Source organism: Homo sapiens, chromosome 4, assembly GCF_000001405.40.
Source record: "Homo sapiens chromosome 4, GRCh38.p14 Primary Assembly".
NCBI classification, from domain to species: domain Eukaryota; kingdom Metazoa; phylum Chordata; class Mammalia; order Primates; family Hominidae; genus Homo; species Homo sapiens.
This window is the reverse complement of record NC_000004.12, coordinates 48499873-48521872: the sequence shown is the minus strand read 5'-3', so window position 1 is coordinate 48521872 and position 22000 is coordinate 48499873. Positions and strand designations below refer to the sequence as shown.

Sequence of the window (22000 nt, the reverse complement as noted above, 5' to 3'; positions counted from 1 at the left end):
GTCCAGTCATCTCTCCTGTATTTACATCTCATTGGTGCCCCAGTTTGTCTTTCCACTAACTGCCCCTCTCCCATTTAAGTGTTCAATGACCAACCGCTGCTGCTAATGGCAGCCATAATACGTTACCACTTACTGACTGTCTACGATGCACCCGGCCCTGTTCAAGGTGTTTTACGTGTATTAGTTACCATAACTCTCCTCCTAACACAAGGCAAGTATGGTTATTGCAGATCTGCATATTACATGTCTTATCCCAGGACACATAGCTAGTAAGTAGATGTGAATCAAGCAGTCTGTCTCTAGTGCCCATTCACTTAACCGTGCCACATAAATCTTCGTCCTCCATGAATGAATATGAATTCAGCTCCAATATGAATTTCAGCTCAAGGTTAACATAGTTACATAGAGCTCTTCCACTTTGATAGTTTTTGTTTAGCAAAATTTAGCCTGTATTAATGTGTACTTAGTTCTACCGAGGGATTAGCTGCTTACCCTAACAACACCCATTCTGGTGTAGACTGGAAGGAAAGAAAGATGATTTTAGGAAATCTCAGAAGCTCTTTATAACGAAGCCCCTAAAATATTTTATGATAGAGAATGTTTCCTGTGGCTTTTGACTCATAAATGAATTCCTTATTTTACTCTTTCTCTTTTTAGTTAAACAGTGATTCTGCCACTGATGAAACAATACCAGACCATCCTGACTTACTTCTCCAGTCTGAAGATTCCACTGGCAGCATCACAACAGAGGAAGTGCTTCAAATCAGGGATGAGACCCCAACTTTGGAGGCTTCTCTAGATAATGCTAACAGCCGGCTGCCTGAGGTGGGGAGAAATGGAGGCTGGTGCATGGCCAATCTGGGCTCTTTTTAGCACTCTTTTATAGCTCCCGCTTTTCTTTCAAAAAAGTTTTGAAGTTGATTTGTTTCCAGTATTTCTAACCTGTTGAGTTATTTTAAATGAAATAGTCAAATCTGATTTTTTCTTAAGTTGGTAGATTAAGGAAATGACCTACAGGTTAAAAATAATCTTGAGTGTTTTTAATGAGCAGTTTGCATTGCAGAACATGATGAGGTTAATGTACAGACGCTTCTCTGGGGTTGGCGAGCATCATCTATTGCACTGTATTTTCTTAGAAGGACCGCTTTGGTTTTTTCTTCTCTTTTTGCTTTGTGTTGGGTTTATGTGATTGGTGCTGTGATTGGGATTAAAACCTCAGGCCAGCTGTGGTTTTTAGCAGTTGTTAAATGAAATCTTTTAAAAAGACTTTGGAACCACTAGTATTATGTTTTTTGGAAAGGCCTGTGAGAAGTAAGCCAGATTTGAAGCTAATGACTGACCAAAAATAAGTAAGTATTAGTGTTTTTTTTAAAGATTATTATACTTTTTAAAAATGTAATTGCTATAGCTCTGCCATATGTGCTTTTTTTATTCCTTGGTAAATATTAGGAAATGCTACATTTTGTCACTGTTCATCAAATTAATGTAGTTATTAGATCTAATCTAGGTATCAGATCTTATTATTTTTGTAAGGTGATAAAACACTATTGTGTTCTTGTTAGGCTGACTCTTGTACATATTTGAACTTTAACAGTAACCAGACATATTTTGAAATGAAGGCACTTTGGCTTCCTTATTAGCAAGCCATCTTTAAAATGCTCATACTCATATGGCTAAGGTTTAGATCATTCAATTCAACAAATATTTATTGTGCTTTCGGTAGATGCCAGGCATTCAGCTAGGTGCCAGAAAGAAGAATAGGACATGGATGGCCCTGTTTTCAGAGAACGTTCTCTTGCTGTCTATTAAGACAGAGAAGGCTTTTAAAAAAATTTCATTTCAGGCCGGGCACTGTGGCTTACGCCTGTAATCCCAGCACTTTGGGAGGCCGAGGTGGGCAGATCATGAGGTCAGGAGATCGAGACCATCTGGCCAACATGGTGAAACTCCGTCTCTACTAAAAATACAAAAATTAGCTGGGTGTGGTGGTGCACACGTGTAGTCCCAGCTACTCGGAAGGCTGAGGCAGGAGAATCACTTGAACCCGGGAGGCGGAGGTTGCAGTGAGCTGAGATGTCACCATTGCACTCTAGCCTGGCAACAGTGCGAGACTCTGTCCCAAAGAAAAAAAAAAGAGCGAGAGAGAGATTGAGACCATCCTGGCGAACATGGTGAAACCCCGTCTCTACTAAAAATACAAAAATTAGCTGGGCCTGGTGGCATGCACCTGTAGTCCCATCTACTCGGGAGGCTGAGGCAGGAGAATCACCTGAATGTGGGAGGCGGAGGTTACAGGGAGCCGAGATCGCGCCACTGCAGTCCAACCTGGCAACAGAGTGAGACTCCATCTCAAAAATAAAAAATTAAAAAAAAAAAAAAAAGAAATTACATTTCAGTGTGGAAAATTCAATAATAGGTTCAAGGCTTTATGAAAACTGAGAGGAAAGTGATCAGCTGTGCACTGGGAGTGATGGTAAGAAAGGACAGGTTTCATGGTAACTGGGACATTCCAGGCAGAGGGACACAATGTAGAAAGGGATGGCAGTGTGAAATAGCATGATGTGTCTAGCTAAAAGCAGGAAATTGAGTATTTCCAGAGAGTAAAATGGGAGGAGGGAGAGGAAGAGCAATAGGAGCAATGAATGGGATCCAAGACAGGAGAAGTCCTATATGCCACACTACAGACTTAGACTTTATCTTGAGATAATAGACAGGAGAAGTCCTATATGCCACACTGAAGATTTAAGACTTTGTCTTGAGATAACAGAAAGACATTCAAATTTTTATCCTTTCAAGAGATACCTATTAAGTAACAAGCACTGTACCAGATGCCAAGATGGAACCACATGGCATGTGAGCATTCATTTATGTGACCAGTATCTACTGAGGCGCTACCTCGTGCTAGGCACTAGGCTAGGCACGGGGCCCGTGGCAACTGTGACACAGACAAAGGCTTTTGGTTTTATGGAGCTTCATTCTAGTAGGAGAGACAGATAATAAGCAGGTAAAACAAAATGTAAATAATATGTCTCATCTTATTCATCATACTAAGAAAATCTAACAGTAATGTGGACTCGAGTGAAGGAGAAAGTTAGGGGTAGCATTTAAGGTGAAACCTAAATGACAAGAACCAGCCCACCCCTTGAAGATTTGGAGGGAGAAGGTTCCAGGCAGAAGAAGCAGCAGTTTAAAAGGCCCTGATATATCTGAAGTACAGAAAACTGGCCAGTAAGGCTGGAACACAGTGAACAAGAAGGAGAGGGGTGGGCCAAGGCACTGTCATGACATGTGTCACAGGCCACACAGCAGGTAACCATTGAAGAAGAACATGATCTGATTATTTTTTAAAACTTTGGCCTTTTTTGTCGAAAATGGAAAGTAGGTTCTAGTCCCTGACACATAGAGCTTGCAGTTAGGGATAATCACAGAAGGTTTGCAGCCTCATTGTTGGTAGTGAAGTCTCTAAGGCAGAGGCTTTGAGGGTAGATTGGAGGAGATGAACGAGCTAAGCTGGAAGAATATTAGCAAGAATTTAGCAGGGCCTGACTAAGGGCACAAACATGAGAAATGTTTACAGGAGAGAACTGATGGAATTTAGAGATGGATTTTAAGTAGACTATATTCCTTTCAGTTGTTGGGAGGTTTATTAGTTATTAAGCCAAACTACAGTGCCTAGTTTGGATCACACCATAGATCACACCATACACCGTAACACCAGTGGATGAGAATGAAAGGGATATTTTGAAAGCATGGTATTTCATTTAGAAACAGTTCTACTGATATTAAAACTGTCACCAAAAGAATGGCTATCCACAGGGAACATGACAGCCTTATATCTGTTGGATATATTGGCCTAATTTGTTTTTCTCTGTTTTGCCAAATAGTGTCAAATGACCCAAAATTGCCTCTTGTACCAAAAGAAAAAGTAGAAAAGCACCAAGATATTGAAATAAAACCATAATTATTTTTAAGGCAACTTCTTAAGACAAAGAATATAATTAATTTTGATGGGTGAAATGTTTTGTGAATTAAAGGAATAAATCCACTCCTAAAAATGTTTATTTGAATTTCTTCCCTTAAATCATGTTAATATTGGAAAGATAAAATGGAGTAGGCTAAAGCATCTTCTGTCATGACAAACTTTAGAGCTGAGTGTCCCTTTCTTCTCTGTAATATACACACGTTACACTCTGATCTCAAGAGGGGATTAAGTTCTTCACTTGTATTTACTCACAGAGGGTTTCTTTTATTATTTATGATAGCTTGGAATCCACCTCATGGATGACAAATTATTCCTTATAGGAAAGAAATCTTTGTAACAAAGCATATGTGCATGTGTCATTGTCTAATAAGGTGAAGTACAAGAAAATTTGATTCTCATAATCTACATATAAACAATGGAATCCATTCTAACAGCCCCAAAAGCACTTTCTTCGTGATATGTAGGCATTACTAGAAAATTTCATTGTATGTTATATAATACTAACTACAGATAAAATATCATCTTGAAATTATTATTCAAGAAAAAATGACAATCCACTGCAGGTGTGAACTAATGAAAAGTGAGGGCATTGAACTAAGTTTGGGTTGAGATAACATAGTATGTTCATGTTGATGTAGAAGGAAAAATTCATGCCAATAAATATTCTAGGTGTAGAAATGTCTCTAGTACTGTCACATAGATTATCTTTCCAAATAATGACCAAATATTTTTTTAGAAAATTCATCTGGAAACCTTAGAGTATATTGAATATAAACTGGTGGAAGAATTAAGAAATAATCCTACTATATTATATTTAATGCTGAAGTAAAGACTCAGAGTTTGCTGCTTTCCCTGCTTAACTAAATCCAGAGCAGTGTTCTCTTACACACTTTGTGTTTTCATGGCGTTATTTCTGTGCCTTTGATATCTTCTAATCACTTTCCCTGCAATATCATCCCTACCTCATGTTTGTCAAAACATGCTGTTTCCTCCAAGGAGACTCACCTCAGTTGCCTCAACTAGATTGAGAGCTTTCCCATCATTGAGTTACCAGCACCCATTTGTATGTTGCTGATAGTATTTACCGTACATTTACCATACTCTGGTATATGTTATTGTCATTCACTTACTAGCCTAACCCTGTTAGACTAGATTATAAACTATTTGCAGTTAGGAATTATTTATACCAGAGCACTCAGCCCAGAATCTAGTCAAAATCCTTCATTTTATAGATGAGTTTTACATATGAATAAGGCCTGGGCTAGTCTAGGGTTATAGGCTCTGACTTTCTCTTACTTTTCTTATTTTGGAAGGAAAATTCTATTTTTATCCATGAAAAACAGATAAGGAGCTACTCTACAGCTGAGAAGTAACTTAGGTCCAAATACTCAAAAGAAGCTGATCTTTATTCCTAGAACTATGACCATTAGTACTTATTTTCAAATTGATTAAACCAATAAACTAAAAACTAGTGTTGATACCATCATCATATATGCTTTGAAAGTGTTTTCCTTTTTTGATAGTAGCAGCTCATTCAACCAATATCTCTTGAGCCTCTACCACTTGTCTATCACATAGCAACATTGTTTCAGTAACATTACGGTGGATAGAAAGGGCACACCACTAGTATGCTTTATAACATGTATTTTCATTATTGTTTACTTCAAATGAGGAGAATATAGTCTTTTTTGATAATGAGCTTGTGATAGTTTAATTTTCAAAAGTATAATTATCTAAAGTGTCCTAATGTCTTCTGAACTGTAGCTAAGTGATGAAGCTTTATCAATACTCAAAGCCAAAATGAGATTTTGTAGTAAGGCCACCCTAGTTGTCTAGGTTCAGCATCCTTCTGATTGGTCAGTACCTACTCCTGCTGTGTGGCAGCCCCACAGGACGAGTGGGTTAATTATTTTGAGTCATCTCTCCTACTTATATCCGGAATATACTGTGTTCCACTGTAATGAAAGCAATGACATTTCAAACAGGAGACGATTTATACTAATAATACAAAGTTTTACTTGTGTAGAGTTAGAACATATATGAGAGAAGATATTTTACCAAAGCACATATTTCCAAGTAAACACCTAAATCCTGTTACTGAAGAGAAAAAAAGTCCTCAATGTTTCTATATGATAATAGGTGATATATTTTAATTTCAAAATATTTTAAACCTATGACCGTTAAAAATAATTTATAACTGATTCAAAAACTATAAAAGTGGCCGGGTGCAGTGTCTCACACCTGTAATCCCAGCACTTTGGGAGGCCAAGGCGGGCAGATCACAAGGTCAAGAGATCGAGACCATCCTGGCTAACATGGTGAAACCCCATCTCTACTAAAAAATACAAAAAAAAAATTAGCTGGGCATGGTGGCATGTGCCTGTAGTCCTAAGTATTTGGGAGGCTGAGGCAGGAGAATCGCTTGAACCTGAGAGGCGGAGATTGCAGTGAGCCAAGATCACGCCATTGCACTCCACTCCAGCCTGGGTGACAGACTGTATAAATGAACACCACTTAATAAAACAGACTTAGATGGATGGCAATACTTATTTATTGTGTTGTAAAATTCTTTTTTTATGTGTTTATAGTTCACTAAAACTATGATTGTTTTGTAGGATACAACTTCAGTATTAAAGGAGGAACATGTTACAACCTTTGAAGATGAAGGATCCTATATAATTCAAGAACAGCAGGAATCTCTTGTGTGTCAAGGAATTCTTGATTTAGAAGAAACTGAAATGCCAGAGCCTCTAGCTCCTGAAAGTTACCCCGAGTCAGTCTGTGAAGAGGATGTTACCTTAGCTCTGAAAGAGCTAGATGAAAGATGTGAAGAAGAAGAAGCGGATTTCTCCGGACTGTCTAGGTGAGAATACAGTATCATAAACACTGTAGTGAGGGGATAATCTCTCCCCTATTCCTTCCAAAGAGTGCCCCTCTGTTTCAGTTTACTTACTTTCATTTCTTTGTGTGTTTCAGTCTGTAATCATACTTTGTGTGTTTTAGTCTAGAATCATACTATCTTCGTTTTTAAAAATAAAATGCCTGACTCTAATGGGATATTTCTTCGATTATGGACATTCCCATAAAGAAAAACAATTAGGCTATTTTCAAAGCATAGTAAGTGGTATTCCACATTTAGAAGCACACCAAATATCTATTTTGGCAGATGCCAAATGGCCAAATGTTAAAATCAATATTGGAATGAACTTCCGTGATACCACAATTTGAATCTAAAATATATTCCAAAAAATTGTTTTTACAGTTTCATGATCAGTGGTCATATTTTTAAAGTTTTATTTCTATAATAGGCGAAGCAATTATTTCTTAGATGCTAGATTGCTCCTTTTAAATGTTTATGCTCCATACATTAAAAATTTATTACCAGAAAGTATGAAGAATTCTCAAGTGGAACTTTTTCTTTACTCAAGGACTAACTTGAATAATAATCATAATAATCATATGTTATATATAGCTTTTAGGGGAAATTTTGGTGGCTGTTACGAAACTCTTAAACCAAATAATTCTTTAACACTTAGAATTATAATAGAATATCCACTGTTTAAATTTCACAAATATTTGTGGTTCAATATTATGTTTTTTATAAAGGTATCTAACTTCATGCACTCTGTGAGTGTATCTATTTCCCCATTCAACAATTTGGAGCTCCTGGATAACTGTTTTTATATAAAATTAATATTTAATAATTATCGAGTATTTCAGAATTTTACTTTTACAATAAAAATTACACCTTTATACTTCATGTGATAATAGAGTTTTAACACATACAACACATTGGAGATTTTTTTTTACCATCAACATATCAAGAATACTTACCTATATTTGAAAAGATACAATCAGATATTAACAATAAATCTTAGTGATACACCTTTTTCATATTACTGATTTGAATATGGCAGTAGCCCATGCAACCACTCAATCATTAATCATGCACAAGTTCAGGGATGCCAGAAACGATGTTATTCAGCTATTTGGCTTTCTAAAAGGCTGAAGCCAAACAGTTGACTTTGGCCAAGTACTGCAGCTGAAATAGAATGGAGCATTCCTACTAAGTGTACAGGTTATCTACCCTAGCTTATAGTATATGTGTTAAAATCATCACCACAGTGACAGTTTTAAAATTAACCTTTTTGAGGTCTCATTTGTTTTCACTTCAGATGTCTGCTTTATTTTGATTGTTTTGATTGTTTTCTCCAGTCTTTACTCGGGTCCCTCCATGCATTCCAGTGCATATGGAAGACCATATGCATTGCTCCAAAATTTCTGTAAAGCCTTATAGAACTAGCTTGTAATGCGAAACATGCAATTTTAAGACCTTGAATAACACATTTCTTTTTTATGAAGTGTCAGACTCAATATTTCTTCCTTTTTTTGGCTGAGAGTTGTAGAATGTCCAACCCAAATACATCTTCATCTTTTTCCATTGTTCATTTTTGTTTGTATAATCTGACTTTAGGGATTATAAATTATTTGAAGGAAATGGCGAGGTCTTATGTTTCTTTGGAGTCAAATCTATTATCGGCCATATTGCTAGGAACATAGTATATGCTTATGAAATAGCTGAGCTAGCCATGTGTTTCCTGGCTAATAGCATTTGGACCCGTAGTCCTGGGTTCAAATTCTGGCTCTGTCATTTCTTACCCAGTAACTAGACATATTATTTAACCTTACTGAACTTTTTATTTCAGCTTTAAAATCAAGATAATAATAGAACCTAATCCTCATATAGTTGTGAAGACTGAATGAAATTATCCATATGAGGCCCCTAACATAGCCCTTAACACAAATGACCATGATCAAAACTTTAAGAATATTATTATCACCAATGTGAGGCTGTTCAAATAAAAGCCTCCAAAATTGACCATTGAAAATGAAAGCATTCTAATCGGTATTATTCATAGAAGTTACTAAAATGAATCCATAGTGGTGGCATATTATAGGACTTGGGTTATTTTAAGGTAGTTGCTTGAAATTAGAGTTCTAATTCTAAAAATGCTAACTAGAAAGAACAGGAATTCACTTATTCACACTTTCTTACAAGATTTAGGTTGTTGTACATTTTCTAAATCAGTGTGTATGATGAATAAAAATAACCTGTCAAATGACTTAAGCTGTCTTACGTGATTGAGCCTATTCTTTTTTTCTGAGATAGTGTTATGATATTTATGATATCTGTGTTAATAGTCAAGATGAAGAAGAGCAAGATGGTTTTCCAGAAGTACAGACGTCGCCTCTGCCGTCACCATTTCTTTCTGCCATCATAGCCGCCTTTCAGCCCGTGGCATATGATGATGAAGAGGAAGCCTGGCGCTGCCACGTCAATCAGATGCTGTCTGACACCGACGGGTCCTCTGCAGTGTTTACTTTTCATGTGTTTTCTAGGCTGTTTCAGGTCAGTGAGGTTCAGGGTTTCTGAATTCATATTATAGTTACCTAATCAAGTTACAGTTTTTCTTCTAAAATCAGCATCTCCGATTTTAATATTCCTACCAGTTTTAACAAATTTTTTTTTTCTAAGCTAATGGTATTACTTACATTGACACTGTGACATTGTGGTACTGCTGGTACATTACACAATGACTGGTAGAGATTTCTCCCCTAAGGCAATTAGAATAAAACTTCAAAACAACGTCTGATATGTTTTCTGCAGTATGCTTAGGCACCATCAGGATACCAAAGAAATAAAGGCCTAAGCTCTGCCTTCAGGGAGCTTACAGTTAATATATCATAAATCAGCTTATAATCAAGGCTTAAAGTAATGGACTAAAAGTGTCCATTGACTTTGTGAGGACCTTAAAGTTTTTAGCTGTTAAGGTTGCTTCCTCCCCAATAATAAAGATAATACAAGCTAAAATTTATTGAGTACCCACTACTTGCTAGGCACTGTGCTAAAGGGCTTTACGGTAAGTGTTCTGACACCACAACTATGGAATGTAGATTTGATTTTCAGCATTCAGTGGAGAGGGAAACTAAGGCACAGAAAAATGCCACCATTTAAGTTATTGTCCTCTGAACTATCTACCACCTTTCCTCCCTTTTCTCCTCCCAAATTTTGCCCATCTTGGAAGACTCAGCTAAATGCATTTTCTTACCGAAGCCTTCCCAACCACTCCAACCTCCAGTCTCTCTCATCCTGGAAGTTCTTTAGTGCTCATTAATGGGAGCGCTTATTTAATTCTGTACTTATTGCATCACTACTTGGTTTTTCTACTCATATTCTTATTGATGTTGTAAGTTTCATGATGGCTGAAAGTGCGGATTTATGCTTTTTATTTTAATCATAATGCCACCTAACAGTGCAACACATATATAAGTAGGTATACTTTAACCATTGATGTAATAATTATACTACTGATAATATAATCTAATTGATTGACTTACTATGAGTCAGGCACTGTCTGTTTTATGGAAATGAATATTCCTGGACTCTGAGAAGATATTACTCTTAATACATTTTTATGACTTTACCTAAAGTTAAGCCAGATGGCAGCCCATAGCCAAGAATAGTAAACTACATTTACTGAAAGTTTCTTTCAGGTAATAACTTTTGATGAACAACTTCCTCAAGACAGGTGAGGACTTTCATTGCTAAGAATGTACAGCATGCATCCATCTGTCTGCCCCCTGATGAAAAAATCTCAGGAATAGGGAGATGAATGGCATATATCATTTTTTCAGTAATACTATTTTGTAAATTTTTGTTTCTTTTTAGAAATTAATGTTTTCTAAGGAAATACCTAAAAATATGGATTTATAGATCAATGATTAAAGTTCTATATATCATTATAATTTTAAAATAAAAGTCTACCCTATTATGCTTCTTTACTTAAAGATGAAAAAAGGCCTTCTTATGAAACACTAAACTCTTTCTTCTGCTTTTCTCCATAGACAATTCAAAGAAAGTTTGGAGAAATAACTAATGAGGCAGTCAGCTTTCTTGGTGATAGTCTGCAACGCATTGGTACCAAATTTAAAAGTTCCTTGGAAGTGATGATGCTGTGTTCAGAATGCCCAACAGTCTTTGTGGATGCTGAAACAGTAAGTTTTTACATGCAGGTTTATTATAAAGACTACATTGGAATGGCATCATTCAGTAAGTCTTTTTTTCTAAGTAATTCTGAATTTTATGGTATAAAGGTTCGTATTTTCAACATGATTATAAATATGTGGCAAACTACAATTCTAGTATATTAGGTGCAGCAACTTGTGACTATTTCTGATTCTGACTCCTTCATGCCCTTACCCTCTACAGAGTCCTAGATGGGAAAACTAAAAAGTCATGCTCTAGAGATGGGTAATTTTTATATTCTTAAATAAAAATGGGTAGGAGATGCCTAAACCTCCACCCGTGAAATACCCAGGCCTCCTGGTTCATTTCCTGATTTATTTCTAAGCACACTTCTAGATTATATATTAAGATATTTAAAGAACTAAGGTTTAAAAAGCTTCAAGGTTGATACCTTTGAGGTATGTACTGGTCTGGCATGACGTCTTTGAAAACACTTGAGGATGTCCTTCCTGACCCTCCTCAAGTCCCACTGCACTCCTACTCTGTTCCAGTGAGAGCTCAGCTCTAAGTATGGGACAGAGTAGAGTTAAGAGAATATCCAAAAACCAACTAACAGCTATTCCATGACTGAAAAGTCTCATGATTTTGTGAGTCTCATGATTTCAATCAGAAATGGTAACCTGGATCAATACTTCTGATTTGACAGCTGATGTCATGTGGTTTGCTGGAAACACTCAAGTTTGGTGTTTTGGAGTTGCAAGAACACCTGGATACATACAATGTGAAAAGAGAAGCCGCTGAGCAGGTCAGTCTCTTTTTACCATGTGCGAAAAGTGGTTTGCTCTTGACACTGGAAGGGTAATCCTGGCAGCAGAATAGCCCAGACAGAAAAGAAGACCTCTCAGCACCTGCCTCAGGGTTTTCCTGAGAGCAGCAGGTTCTTTGAGCTCTCTATCCAGCAAATTCCTACCTTTGGCTTTTAAAAATCAGTCCTCTAACAGCACAATGGAAAACCATAGCTTTGTAAAAAGCTTCTTTGTGGAGACTGTGTCACTGCTGTCAACATTCCAAGTGGGGAAATTGAAGCAGTATTTCTCAGTGCATTAGAGAATTGTGGTCTAGGAAATCCACAACCTCTGACAAAGCTGTAATCTTTTTCCCATGATGTGTACATGTACATGGGCAAGCAGTGGGAGAAAAAAGCATGTAGTGAATTAGACAATTACCTCCTAAGAAAGGCTTCTTCAAGTCCAATCTGGCATTGAAAACAGAGTAGCTCTGTTCCTTCCCTAAGAGTAAATCCAGCACATTTTCAATTGGGAGGGACAGAAGAACAAAAAATAATTTCTCTCTTTCACACAAACTGCATACAGTAGGTAATTATTTTTCTAGATGGGTCTTTCATTAATAAGTAGTAAATATCTGTGACATGTATAGACCTATGAAAAATGAAGTGTGTGGTGGTATCTCATGGTACTATTTTGCATTTCCCTGATGACTAATATTTGAGCCCCTTTTCAAATGGATCTCTTCATTTAAGATATTTTGTGAATTGTAGCTTCAAGTACATTGCTCATTTTTGTAAATCGATTGGGTTTTTCTTACTGATTTGTAGGGGCTCTTTATCCTAAATGCAAGCCCTTTTTTGGATGTATGTATTGCGAAGATTATTCCTTCTCTGTAGCTAGCAGTTTTGCTATCTTAGTAGCATTTTTTGATGAACAGAAGTTTTTAATTTTAATAAGTCCAGGTTATCAGCCTTTTCCATCATGGTTATGGTTTTTGTATCTTCAGAAATCATTGCCTACTAGAAGCAAAGGTAGATTGTTAAAATACTGGTCCCAATGAATCATGCTTCTCTTGTCGCCACACCCCTTTGCAATGTGACTTTGCTGTTCTTCCCATGAAGAGACAGAGTCCATTTCACCATCTCTTAAATTTGGGATGGCCTTGTGATTTGCTCTAACCAATCAAGTTCAGAAGCAACGCTGTGTAACTTCCAAGACTAGTCCTGAAGTGGTCTTTTGTGGTGTCTGCTTTTGCCATCATACTGGTCGGAGTGCAAACTGGGGTAAACTCTGGGAAACTATTTGACCTCTAGCCTGCTGGAAGATGAGGCCATGTAGGGGAGAACAGAGGCGTTCCATTGACAGTCAGTGTGCAAGACATATGAGTGAAGCCAACTTGGAACTTCAACCCTGCCGCTTCCCCAGTCAAGCCATCAATGACTGTAGACTCATGAGTGACCCTAGGCAAGACCAGAAGAAACTCCCAGCCAGCACATAGATTCATTTTGGTTGTTTGAAGCCATTAAGTTTTAGGGTGGTTGGTTTTAAAGCAATAGATACCATTTATAATAGGAAAATATCAAATACCTACAAATAAATCTGTCTAAAGATATGCTGTACCTCTATACAGAAAACTGCAAATATTGAGAAAAATTAAAGACCACCTAAATGGAGGACTATATACCATGTTTATCAATTAGAAGACTCAATATGGTAAAGATGTCATTTTCCCCCAAAATGGTCTATAGGTTTAATGCAGTCTCATTCAAAATCTCAGATGGTATATTAATGGAAATTGACAAGCTGATTCTAAAATTTATATGGAAATTCAAACAACTAATAATGCTTACAAACTTCTTGAACACAGGTTAGCAAACTACAGCTGTCAAGTTATATCTGGCCCACTGCCTATTTTTGTAAATAAAATTAGTAGAAAACAGCTATCTGGTTTACTTACATATTGTCCATGGCTATGTTTGCACTGTAACAATTAAATAGTTACAAAGACTATATGTTTTGCAAAGCCTAAAATATTTACTGTCTGCCCTATTTAATTTTCCCATTCATTTTTGAGTTATACATTCTTTTTATTATTATTCAAGACTGCTAAGGCTCACAGGTGAATTGAATTATTTTTCTCTCCCCAGCAATGTGAGACCAGCGGTCTCTGCCGACCTTCTCAGTCTCCCAGGGGCTGCTGTGTGGTTTTGTAGCCTCTCCCCCTGCAGATAATAAACAGGAACAGCAAGTGTTCTAAGGCGAGACTGCACAGAGACTATTGGGGTCACTTCTCTGCAGTTCTCTTTTCTCCAGGATATTGGCCCTCAATATCTCACGATCTATCTATCTATCTATCTATCATCTATCTATCTTTGAAAACTGTTTTCCCAGCCCAGTGAAACTGTAGGGCATAAACTCTAGGCCACTGCTTTCTGTTCAGCCTCTATGCGCAGGGACGTGAATATGAATACACCTAGAGTAGAGTAAGCACTGGGGCGGGTATTGGGCTCACTCCGGTACTTTTCTCTAACTAACTAACTGTTTGTTTGAGTGAGTTTTGGCCGATAGGATTCAGCTTCCATCATTGTCCTTGCAGGATTGGTCTTTCTTTCTTTTATACAGGCTACTCCATCACACCCAGAAGTAGAACCTCGACAGTTAAAAATTTTAACCTTCATTTGAACCTTGAATAAAGAAAATGCCGTGACAGGAAGACTGATTGATTAGATGTGAACTGGAGGGTGTTCTGAGCACAAACTACCATGTCTTGTATGCTCTGGCTGGAAAGGTGTGGACCTGTATCTCTCAGGCCAGTGTGCAGCCACAGGACTATATGGTTGGGGTTTGTCTTTTAACAGAATAAAAATCAGCAATATTTTGAATAGTGCCCCCCAAAAGGCTGTATCATTAGGTACACAGTATAAAAATAAGCCATTAAATAAATAATCAACTGAAATTATTTTCAAATTTATTAGTATACTTGGACAAACTGGACAAGATAAGGCATAATTAAGTGTATAAATATTTTAACATTTTGTATGAATAAAGATTAATGCACAGGTTCCATGTTAGATGTCAACTGCATTTTGCTGATACAAAGAAATCCACTGATAGCTTTTGACAATGGCTGCCATCAGCTGTATCTCACTAGAAAAGCTTAACATGTTTTTCTTCAGAGATGCTGTCAAGCAAATAGCCTAAGGGCCGGTGAAATCTGAGAGACTGGAATAAAAGGAAAATAAGGTCAAAGAGATCATTTTTGAAATAACTGAAATGTCAAATTTCAATTCTTTCTTTGTGGGTACAACATAAGCTACAATAGAGAATGTTAAATGTCGAATACTAAAATACTTTCAGAGTAGCTGCTTAATGCAGCTAGTCTGTTTCTCAAAGTCCTAATGATTTCATATATATATATATATATATATATATATATATATATATATATATATATATATATTAGTTGTATTGTTTAATAGTATAATTTAAAAAAAAGAACTTAGAAGTCAAAACAACTGATAATATCAAACTGTCCAAAGCTAGGAGCTTACCTGGAATGCACTTAGCTTTTACTTCAGCTTGGAAATTCTGTGAGTCCAGCGTTCTTTCTTTTCTACTATACCACGGTGCTATTGTTTTATTTATATTTTGCTGAAGAAAATGTACTTTATTTTTGAAGTATTCCTTTTTTTTTATTTTATGTTTTTAGAGACAGGGTCTCCCTATGTTGCCCAGGATGGTCTTGAACTCCTGCCCTCTAGCAGTCCTCCCCGCTCAGCCTCCCAAAGCTCTGGGATTACAGGCAGGAGCCACCACACCCAGCCTGTACTTTTATATCAACATTAGGAATACCCCCAGAGAAGGAAAAACCACATTTGGCTTCTACATCCAGTATTGTTTGGAAATAAATAACATGTTTGTTTGTCATTCATTACTGTCCAAAAAGAAAGAAAAGAAAAACAAAACAAGACTTAAAATGGATCTTGATTGCCGGTTCACAAATTTAAAACTGACACTAGTCTTCTGAGAATTACACTTCTCATAAGCAAACAGACCTACTTAATTCTAAGTTGTCTTTATTAAATTGATCAGAGGGGAAGCACATCTTTCCTTTCCCCGTCTTACGTTACACAAAGGTCAGGCATAGGTTGTAAAGATTTTCATAAAACCTGCAAAATGAAGAATATCCTTTACTGAAATGGAACATCACAGGTCCCTAGAATGGAATGGGTTTTGTTAGTATAGCTGTCACAAGTGTGTGCCTCTTGTTACATTAATGCTATCCCTGCTTTTGTTAGTTCCATATAAATGATTGATTTGGCTTGAATGGAGATAAAAGTCTAGGTCTACAACCAATCCTAGAACTTCAAGTTAACTTTAAGTTTGGTGTTGTATATGGACAGGCTGTTACACTACCCATTTTACTGTGCATATTAAACGTTACTGTTACTTATTTTTAGTGGCTAGATGATTGTAAGAGGACATTTGGTGCCAAAGAAGACATGTATAGGATAAACACAGATGCACAAGTAAGTTTCTTGTTCCTGTTTTTGCAACATACATTTTCTGTATCAGGTAAAACAATGCATGTGTTCAAATATCCTTATTTGATTATTTCTAAAAATAAAGAATATTTGTAAAACTTTTCATTTTGGTTATCAAAACAATCTTTGTAAAAGCTCAATGAAATACTGGTTTCATAATGAAAAATTCACTTTAATAAAAATGAACGACCAGCTTGTGACTGAAGCTTAATAACATCCAATAGATAAGCTTGATGGATATCTGGACAGTCCAGGTCGGCTTTTAAGTTGCATGTGCCTCTTAAAGAAAAATTTGTCCCATGTTAGTATTCTGCTATTCTGTTAGATAAATTGGTCAAGAAAGCAAACCTAAGAATAATGTGATATAATATATCCATGTTAAAGGTAAAATTAGAATTGGATAAATTATAATGTTTTTCTTTAATATAAGGCTCAGTGAAAACAACAGCATTATATTTTCTTAGAAAGGTGCACATACATAAACACATACATTGTAGTAAGTGAGGATAAGTTAGGGCCTACAAATTATTCCAATGGAAGTGTAGCTTCACAGGGGAAAATACATTCATCAACTGAAATTTATTTCCATTTGACATCAGAATTCCAGTCTTTTATATTCTACCTTTGGTTATATTATTACAGATTTCTAGTGTCTGTAAAGGTTATACTATTATTAGGTTATACTATTTATTATAGTAAAAAATTGAAGTTCTGCAAAAACTGCAGTGTTGAGAAAATAATAGTATACTCGCTAAGTGTTAACTATTTGCCAGCCTCTATAGTTTCTTTATCCTTACAACTCAGGCAAGTAGTTGCTCTAATTATCCTGGTTTTGAAGATGAGGAAACTGAGGTTCAGAGATGCTAATTTATCTAAAATCAGCAAATAGTGAAACCAAGATTGAAACCTAGGCAGGCTGACTCCAAATCCTGCACTAATGTTAAAAAGAAACTGCTAAGTCATCTATGTAAAGAAATGAAGATAAGGAATTAACCCTAGACCAGAATCCTTTGGTTCTAATTCTGTCTGTCTTTGCCACTGTTTAACTGCATCACTTCGGCAAGTAATGTAACCTTTTTTCCTACAAAAACTAGGTGTTTATATTAAGTGATTTTTTTATATCCCCTCTACCTTGAAGAAAATTATATCCATCTTAAGATCAAGTCAGTTAACATAGCTTGAGGTTTTCTACGAAGTGGAAACTGAACATTTAACACTTTCATTTATATTTCAGCTCACCTTTCATATTCAACTGTTTTGAGGGTGGAAGACGCTTTTTATGCAATTTGATCTGTCCTTGTGTACCAGTCTTGTCTTTTGCATAATAAGCAGTCAAATATTTGTTAGATGAATAAAAGAATGTGCAAATTTTAATATACTTTAAAATGTGCATATATATACACACACACACACTCATCCACAAAAACTGCACTGTTTTAGCATATTTAGAGTAATTGCTGGTAATTCAGAGCTGTAAAATTCATTACATTTGTGTTATTTCCTACGATCATAAACTTTATCAGCAGTTTATGTTCCATTACATCCCAAAGTAGAGGCTATACATATATGCTTGTAGAATCAGTTCTACTTTATTTGTGCTAATAGAAGTGAGGAAAGGTATTTAAAATTCAAATTGTTAATTTCCATATGAAATAAACTGTATGAACTAAACCCTCAGAAATTTAGATATGGAATATGCTTGACCTTGGATTGTGCTCAACTGATGTTTATTGGATGAGCATCCACATAATTTATGGTAAGCAGCATGGAGCTAAAGTTCACCTTTGCTTATTTAGCAAATCCCTTCTAAATTGATAGGAATAAACTTTATGAAAAACAGTCCTTCACAGGAAACTATTTAGAAAAGCAGGCTTAAGAATGACTTTTAGAAGATACATTTACGGTGTAACAATTGTTGTTTTAGTTAGAAGTCATTCTCCTCGTAAGAGACCAGATCCAAGTTGCTGTACATGTTTTCATATAGTTTTTAAGATGGTTCATAAATTTTTACTCTGTGTTTTACATACATTATGTTGATTCAAACCTAGTCGGGTTAAGTTTCTGAAACTTACTGAAGTATATTTGGAATGCAATTTAGAACATGCATCTGCTTTTGATATTCCACCCTGTGGCTCAGCACCAGTTATGGCAAAGTAGGACCTAATTAGACAGTAAAGGATAGGAAGCCTGGAATGAGCCACCCTAGAGATAATCTTTTGATGGTGATGGATAAGTATTTATTATGTACGATTATAAGCCAATTCTTTTCTGAGAAGTAACAGTAATTAATTTGTTTCTTATTTTCTAATCATAAGTTTTCCAGTTTACAAATGGAAGTTTTATTACAGTTGGGTTTTGGTTTTTTTTTTTTTAAACCTGGATAGCCAGATTTACCAAGATCACAATAGTTCAGTTTTATTCATTGTAGCTTTTACACAGAAATAAGTCATAGCCTAAATGTAATTTATTATTTGGCAAAGTGTTTAAAAACACCCTGAATCGTTGCAGTAAATGTCTAAAAAGTTTTATTCTGGAAATAACTTTGTATAATTTTCTTTGGGGTATAAATATATGTTCTTCAGTTTACCTGGAACATCTGTGACCCTAGTTAAAATGATTTCTTACACTAATTCTTGGTCTTTTTCTTCCTTTGTATTTTTTGTGACCTGATCACCTTCTTGCTTAGCAAATGGAAATACTAGCAGTAAGTGACCTGTCTTGATTTATAGACTACTCACCCTTGCCAGACAAACTGGTTTTCATCTGCCATTTGTCCATTTGTGACCCAGCAATGTTTTCTCGTGGACTACTTTACAAGTAGTATGTGCTTCAGTTTTGCAAAGCCCTAATCCATGAAATGTTGGTTCTTTTAAAATAGTGAGATGTTAAAATACATAAAATTAGCAGTCACCTTTTTCTTAAACATATCTCCTCTTAAATTTCTTAATTTAAAAAATCAAAGTGCACAACTTTTTTTTTTTTTTTTGAGATGGAGTCTTGCTCTGTTGCCCAGGCTTGGAGGGCAGTGGCATGATCTCGGCTCACTGCAACCTCTGCCTCCCAGGTTCAAGCGATTCTCCTGCCTCAGCTTCCCCAGTAGCTGGGATTACATACACCCACCACCATGCCCAGCTAATTATTTTTTGTATTTTTAGTAGAGACGGGGTTTCACCACATTGGCCAGGCTGGTTTCAAACTCCTGAGCTCAAGTGATCTGCCCACCTCGGCCTCCCAAAGTGCTAGGATTACAGGTGTGAGCCACCGTGCTCGGCCCACGTTGTTAATTTCATAGTTTCATTTCAATGAGATTACCAAGTGGTTTTCTTTAGAAAAATGACCTCACTTTAAAAGACAGCTTTTCTTACTTTTTAGGTAAGAGGTTATCCGGTTTCACTTTGCTTTATCAAGCATTTGTTGATAAATGCAGTGAGATCTACATCTCAATGAGGGCAAAAGTCTTTGCATTTGTAGATTATTTTAATTATGAATTTAAAGTTTTAAATTCTAATGAATCCTTTTTAAAGTATCCTATTAATTGCCTGCTGAAACAGTCTATTTGTAGAATGTGAAAATGTGCTTAACATTAAAACTGAATTATGTAACCAGCAGTGATATTTGTTTTTATTTTAATCTTAGTCTTTAAAGCATATTTCACGTGCCTTTCATCAGCTTCATACCATATTAACTTCCTTACTGCAGAAAAATAAACGACAAGACAATTTTAACTATAAATTTCCATTGGAAATATGCTGTCTAGAAAATAACACCTAAATTTAATGTAATGTTATTTATTTCTAGGAATTGGAGCTCTGCCGAAGATTATACAAATTGCATTTTCAATTGCTGCTTCTGTTCCAGGCCTACTGTAAACTTATCAACCAAGTAAATACGATAAAAAATGAAGCAGAGGTAAATATTCAGTTGTATTAGGCATCAGTAACTGATTCTAAAAAAATTTTAAAATAAAATCTATTACTTGTTAAAATAGCTTAAGTCAAAAGTCACTTAGAGTGAGTCTTTTTTCTTTTAGTTAAGGAATAATTTGTTTTTTAATGATGTGCTATGTCAGGACCTATGAGTAAATAAGACAGCAGATATCCAGCAGTTGTAAAAGGTTCAAGACCTTAAAGGTTTCCATAGTAGACACAGATCATCTATAATCAAAAGTCAAGTAAAAGCCAGGGATGGTGGCACATACCTATAGTCCTAGTTACTCGAGAGTCTGAGCTGGGATGATGACTTGAGCCCAGGAGTTAGAAGCTGTAGTGAGCTGTGATTGCAGCACTGCACTCCAGCATAGGTGACAGAGCAAGACCCTGTCTCAGAAAATCAAAATAGTCAAACAAAGCACATCAGTTCAATAAAGACATAAAACTGTATCATCAACCCCCCTCCCTCAACATGTTGTTCGTATTTCTATAGCTTTTTTTTTTTTTTTTTTTTTTTGAGGCAGAGTCTCCTTCTTTTGCCCAGGCTGCGGTGCAATGGCATGATCTCAACTCACTGCAACTTCCACCTCCTGGGTTCAAGCAGTTCTCCTGCCTCAGCCTCCCAAGCAGCTGGGACTACCAGTGTGCACCACCACACCCAGCTAACCTTTTTGTATTTTTAGTAGAGACGGGGTTTCACCATGTTGGCCAGGCTGGTCTCAAACTCCTGACCTCAGGTGACCCACTGCCTTGGCCTGCCAAAGTGCTGGGATTACAGGCATAAGCCACCGTGCCCAGCCCACATTGTTACAGTTTTATTAGTGCACACAAGAAAAAACATGTTAAAAAACACTTTGAATGTTGAAAATCAATACATAGCCTCAAAGATGCTAACTTTAGTCTTTTCCCCCCCTTGTCATCTGCTGGTAATAAAACTATCACTGGGGAAATGATTTAATTTCTTAGTCATTAAATCTGTAAAAAGAAATATACATGTATTTATTTTTTATATAAAAATACCCTGGGGTAAATAATCTTTTAAAATCTAAAGACTTTACTGTTATATAGTTTTCATGATCCCCCATAACAGTAAATGTACTTTTACTATCCAAAATGTAGTAATATTAAAACCAATATAGACATTTATTACAACTTGTTGCTTTATCAAGAACATTTAATTTCAAGACTACTATTTGGTGGAATTTATTTGCTCCTACAGAATGGAGTACTTGAAATATTAACTGCCCTTTCTTCCAAGACAAACATTTTAAAATAATCTTTAAGAGCAACAATGCTACTGCCATCAGGTATATTCTTGTAGCCAACTAAATGTTTTTGTTACCAAACATACGAATAGATCCTTAAAGATGTATTTGTTTTAGGTCATCAACATGTCAGAGGAACTTGCCCAACTGGAAAGTATCCTCAAAGAAGCTGAGTCCGCTTCCGAAAACGAAGAAATTGACATTTCCAAAGCTGCACAAACTACTATAGAAACTGCCATTCATTCTTTAATTGAAACTTTGAAAAATAAAGAATTTATATCAGCTGTAGCACAAGTCAAAGCTTTCAGGTAAAACGTGACGGGATTTAAAGGTGATGCCTTTAAATTAGACAGGAAGTTTAGTAATACTAGGTTTTCATTTTCAATTTGCTGTTTCCATATCATGTCTTTGTGAAAGAAAAACATGAGTATTTTTAACAGTTGCCACTGAAATGATACCAATTTT

The 22000-nt window shown here is 36.1% G+C and overlaps 1 protein-coding gene across 20 annotated transcripts in view; it reads left to right on the top strand.

Moving 5' to 3' along the window:
- Nucleotides 1-22000, top strand: part of FRYL (FRY like transcription coactivator) — a 282923-nt gene that overhangs the window by 258407 nt on the left and 2516 nt on the right. For 14 of the 20 annotated variants that reach the window (XM_024453991.2, XM_024453993.2, XM_011513683.4 and 11 more), the window contains 9 exons: nt 658-825; nt 6598-6845; nt 9185-9392; nt 10889-11038; nt 11716-11814; nt 16258-16326; nt 19028-19045; nt 20140-20250; nt 21653-21843. In XM_024453991.2, the coding sequence (XP_024309759.1) occupies nt 658-825; nt 6598-6845; nt 9185-9392; nt 10889-11038; nt 11716-11814; nt 16258-16326; nt 19028-19045; nt 20140-20250; nt 21653-21843 (1262 nt within the window). Of the gene's footprint in view, nt 1-657; nt 1350-6597; nt 6846-9184; nt 9393-10888; nt 11039-11715; nt 11815-16257; nt 16327-19027; nt 19046-20139; nt 20251-21652; nt 21844-22000 lie in introns of those variants that run through there. The other 6 variants (XM_047450098.1, XM_011513682.4, XM_047450095.1 and 3 more) reach the window with 2 other exon arrangements.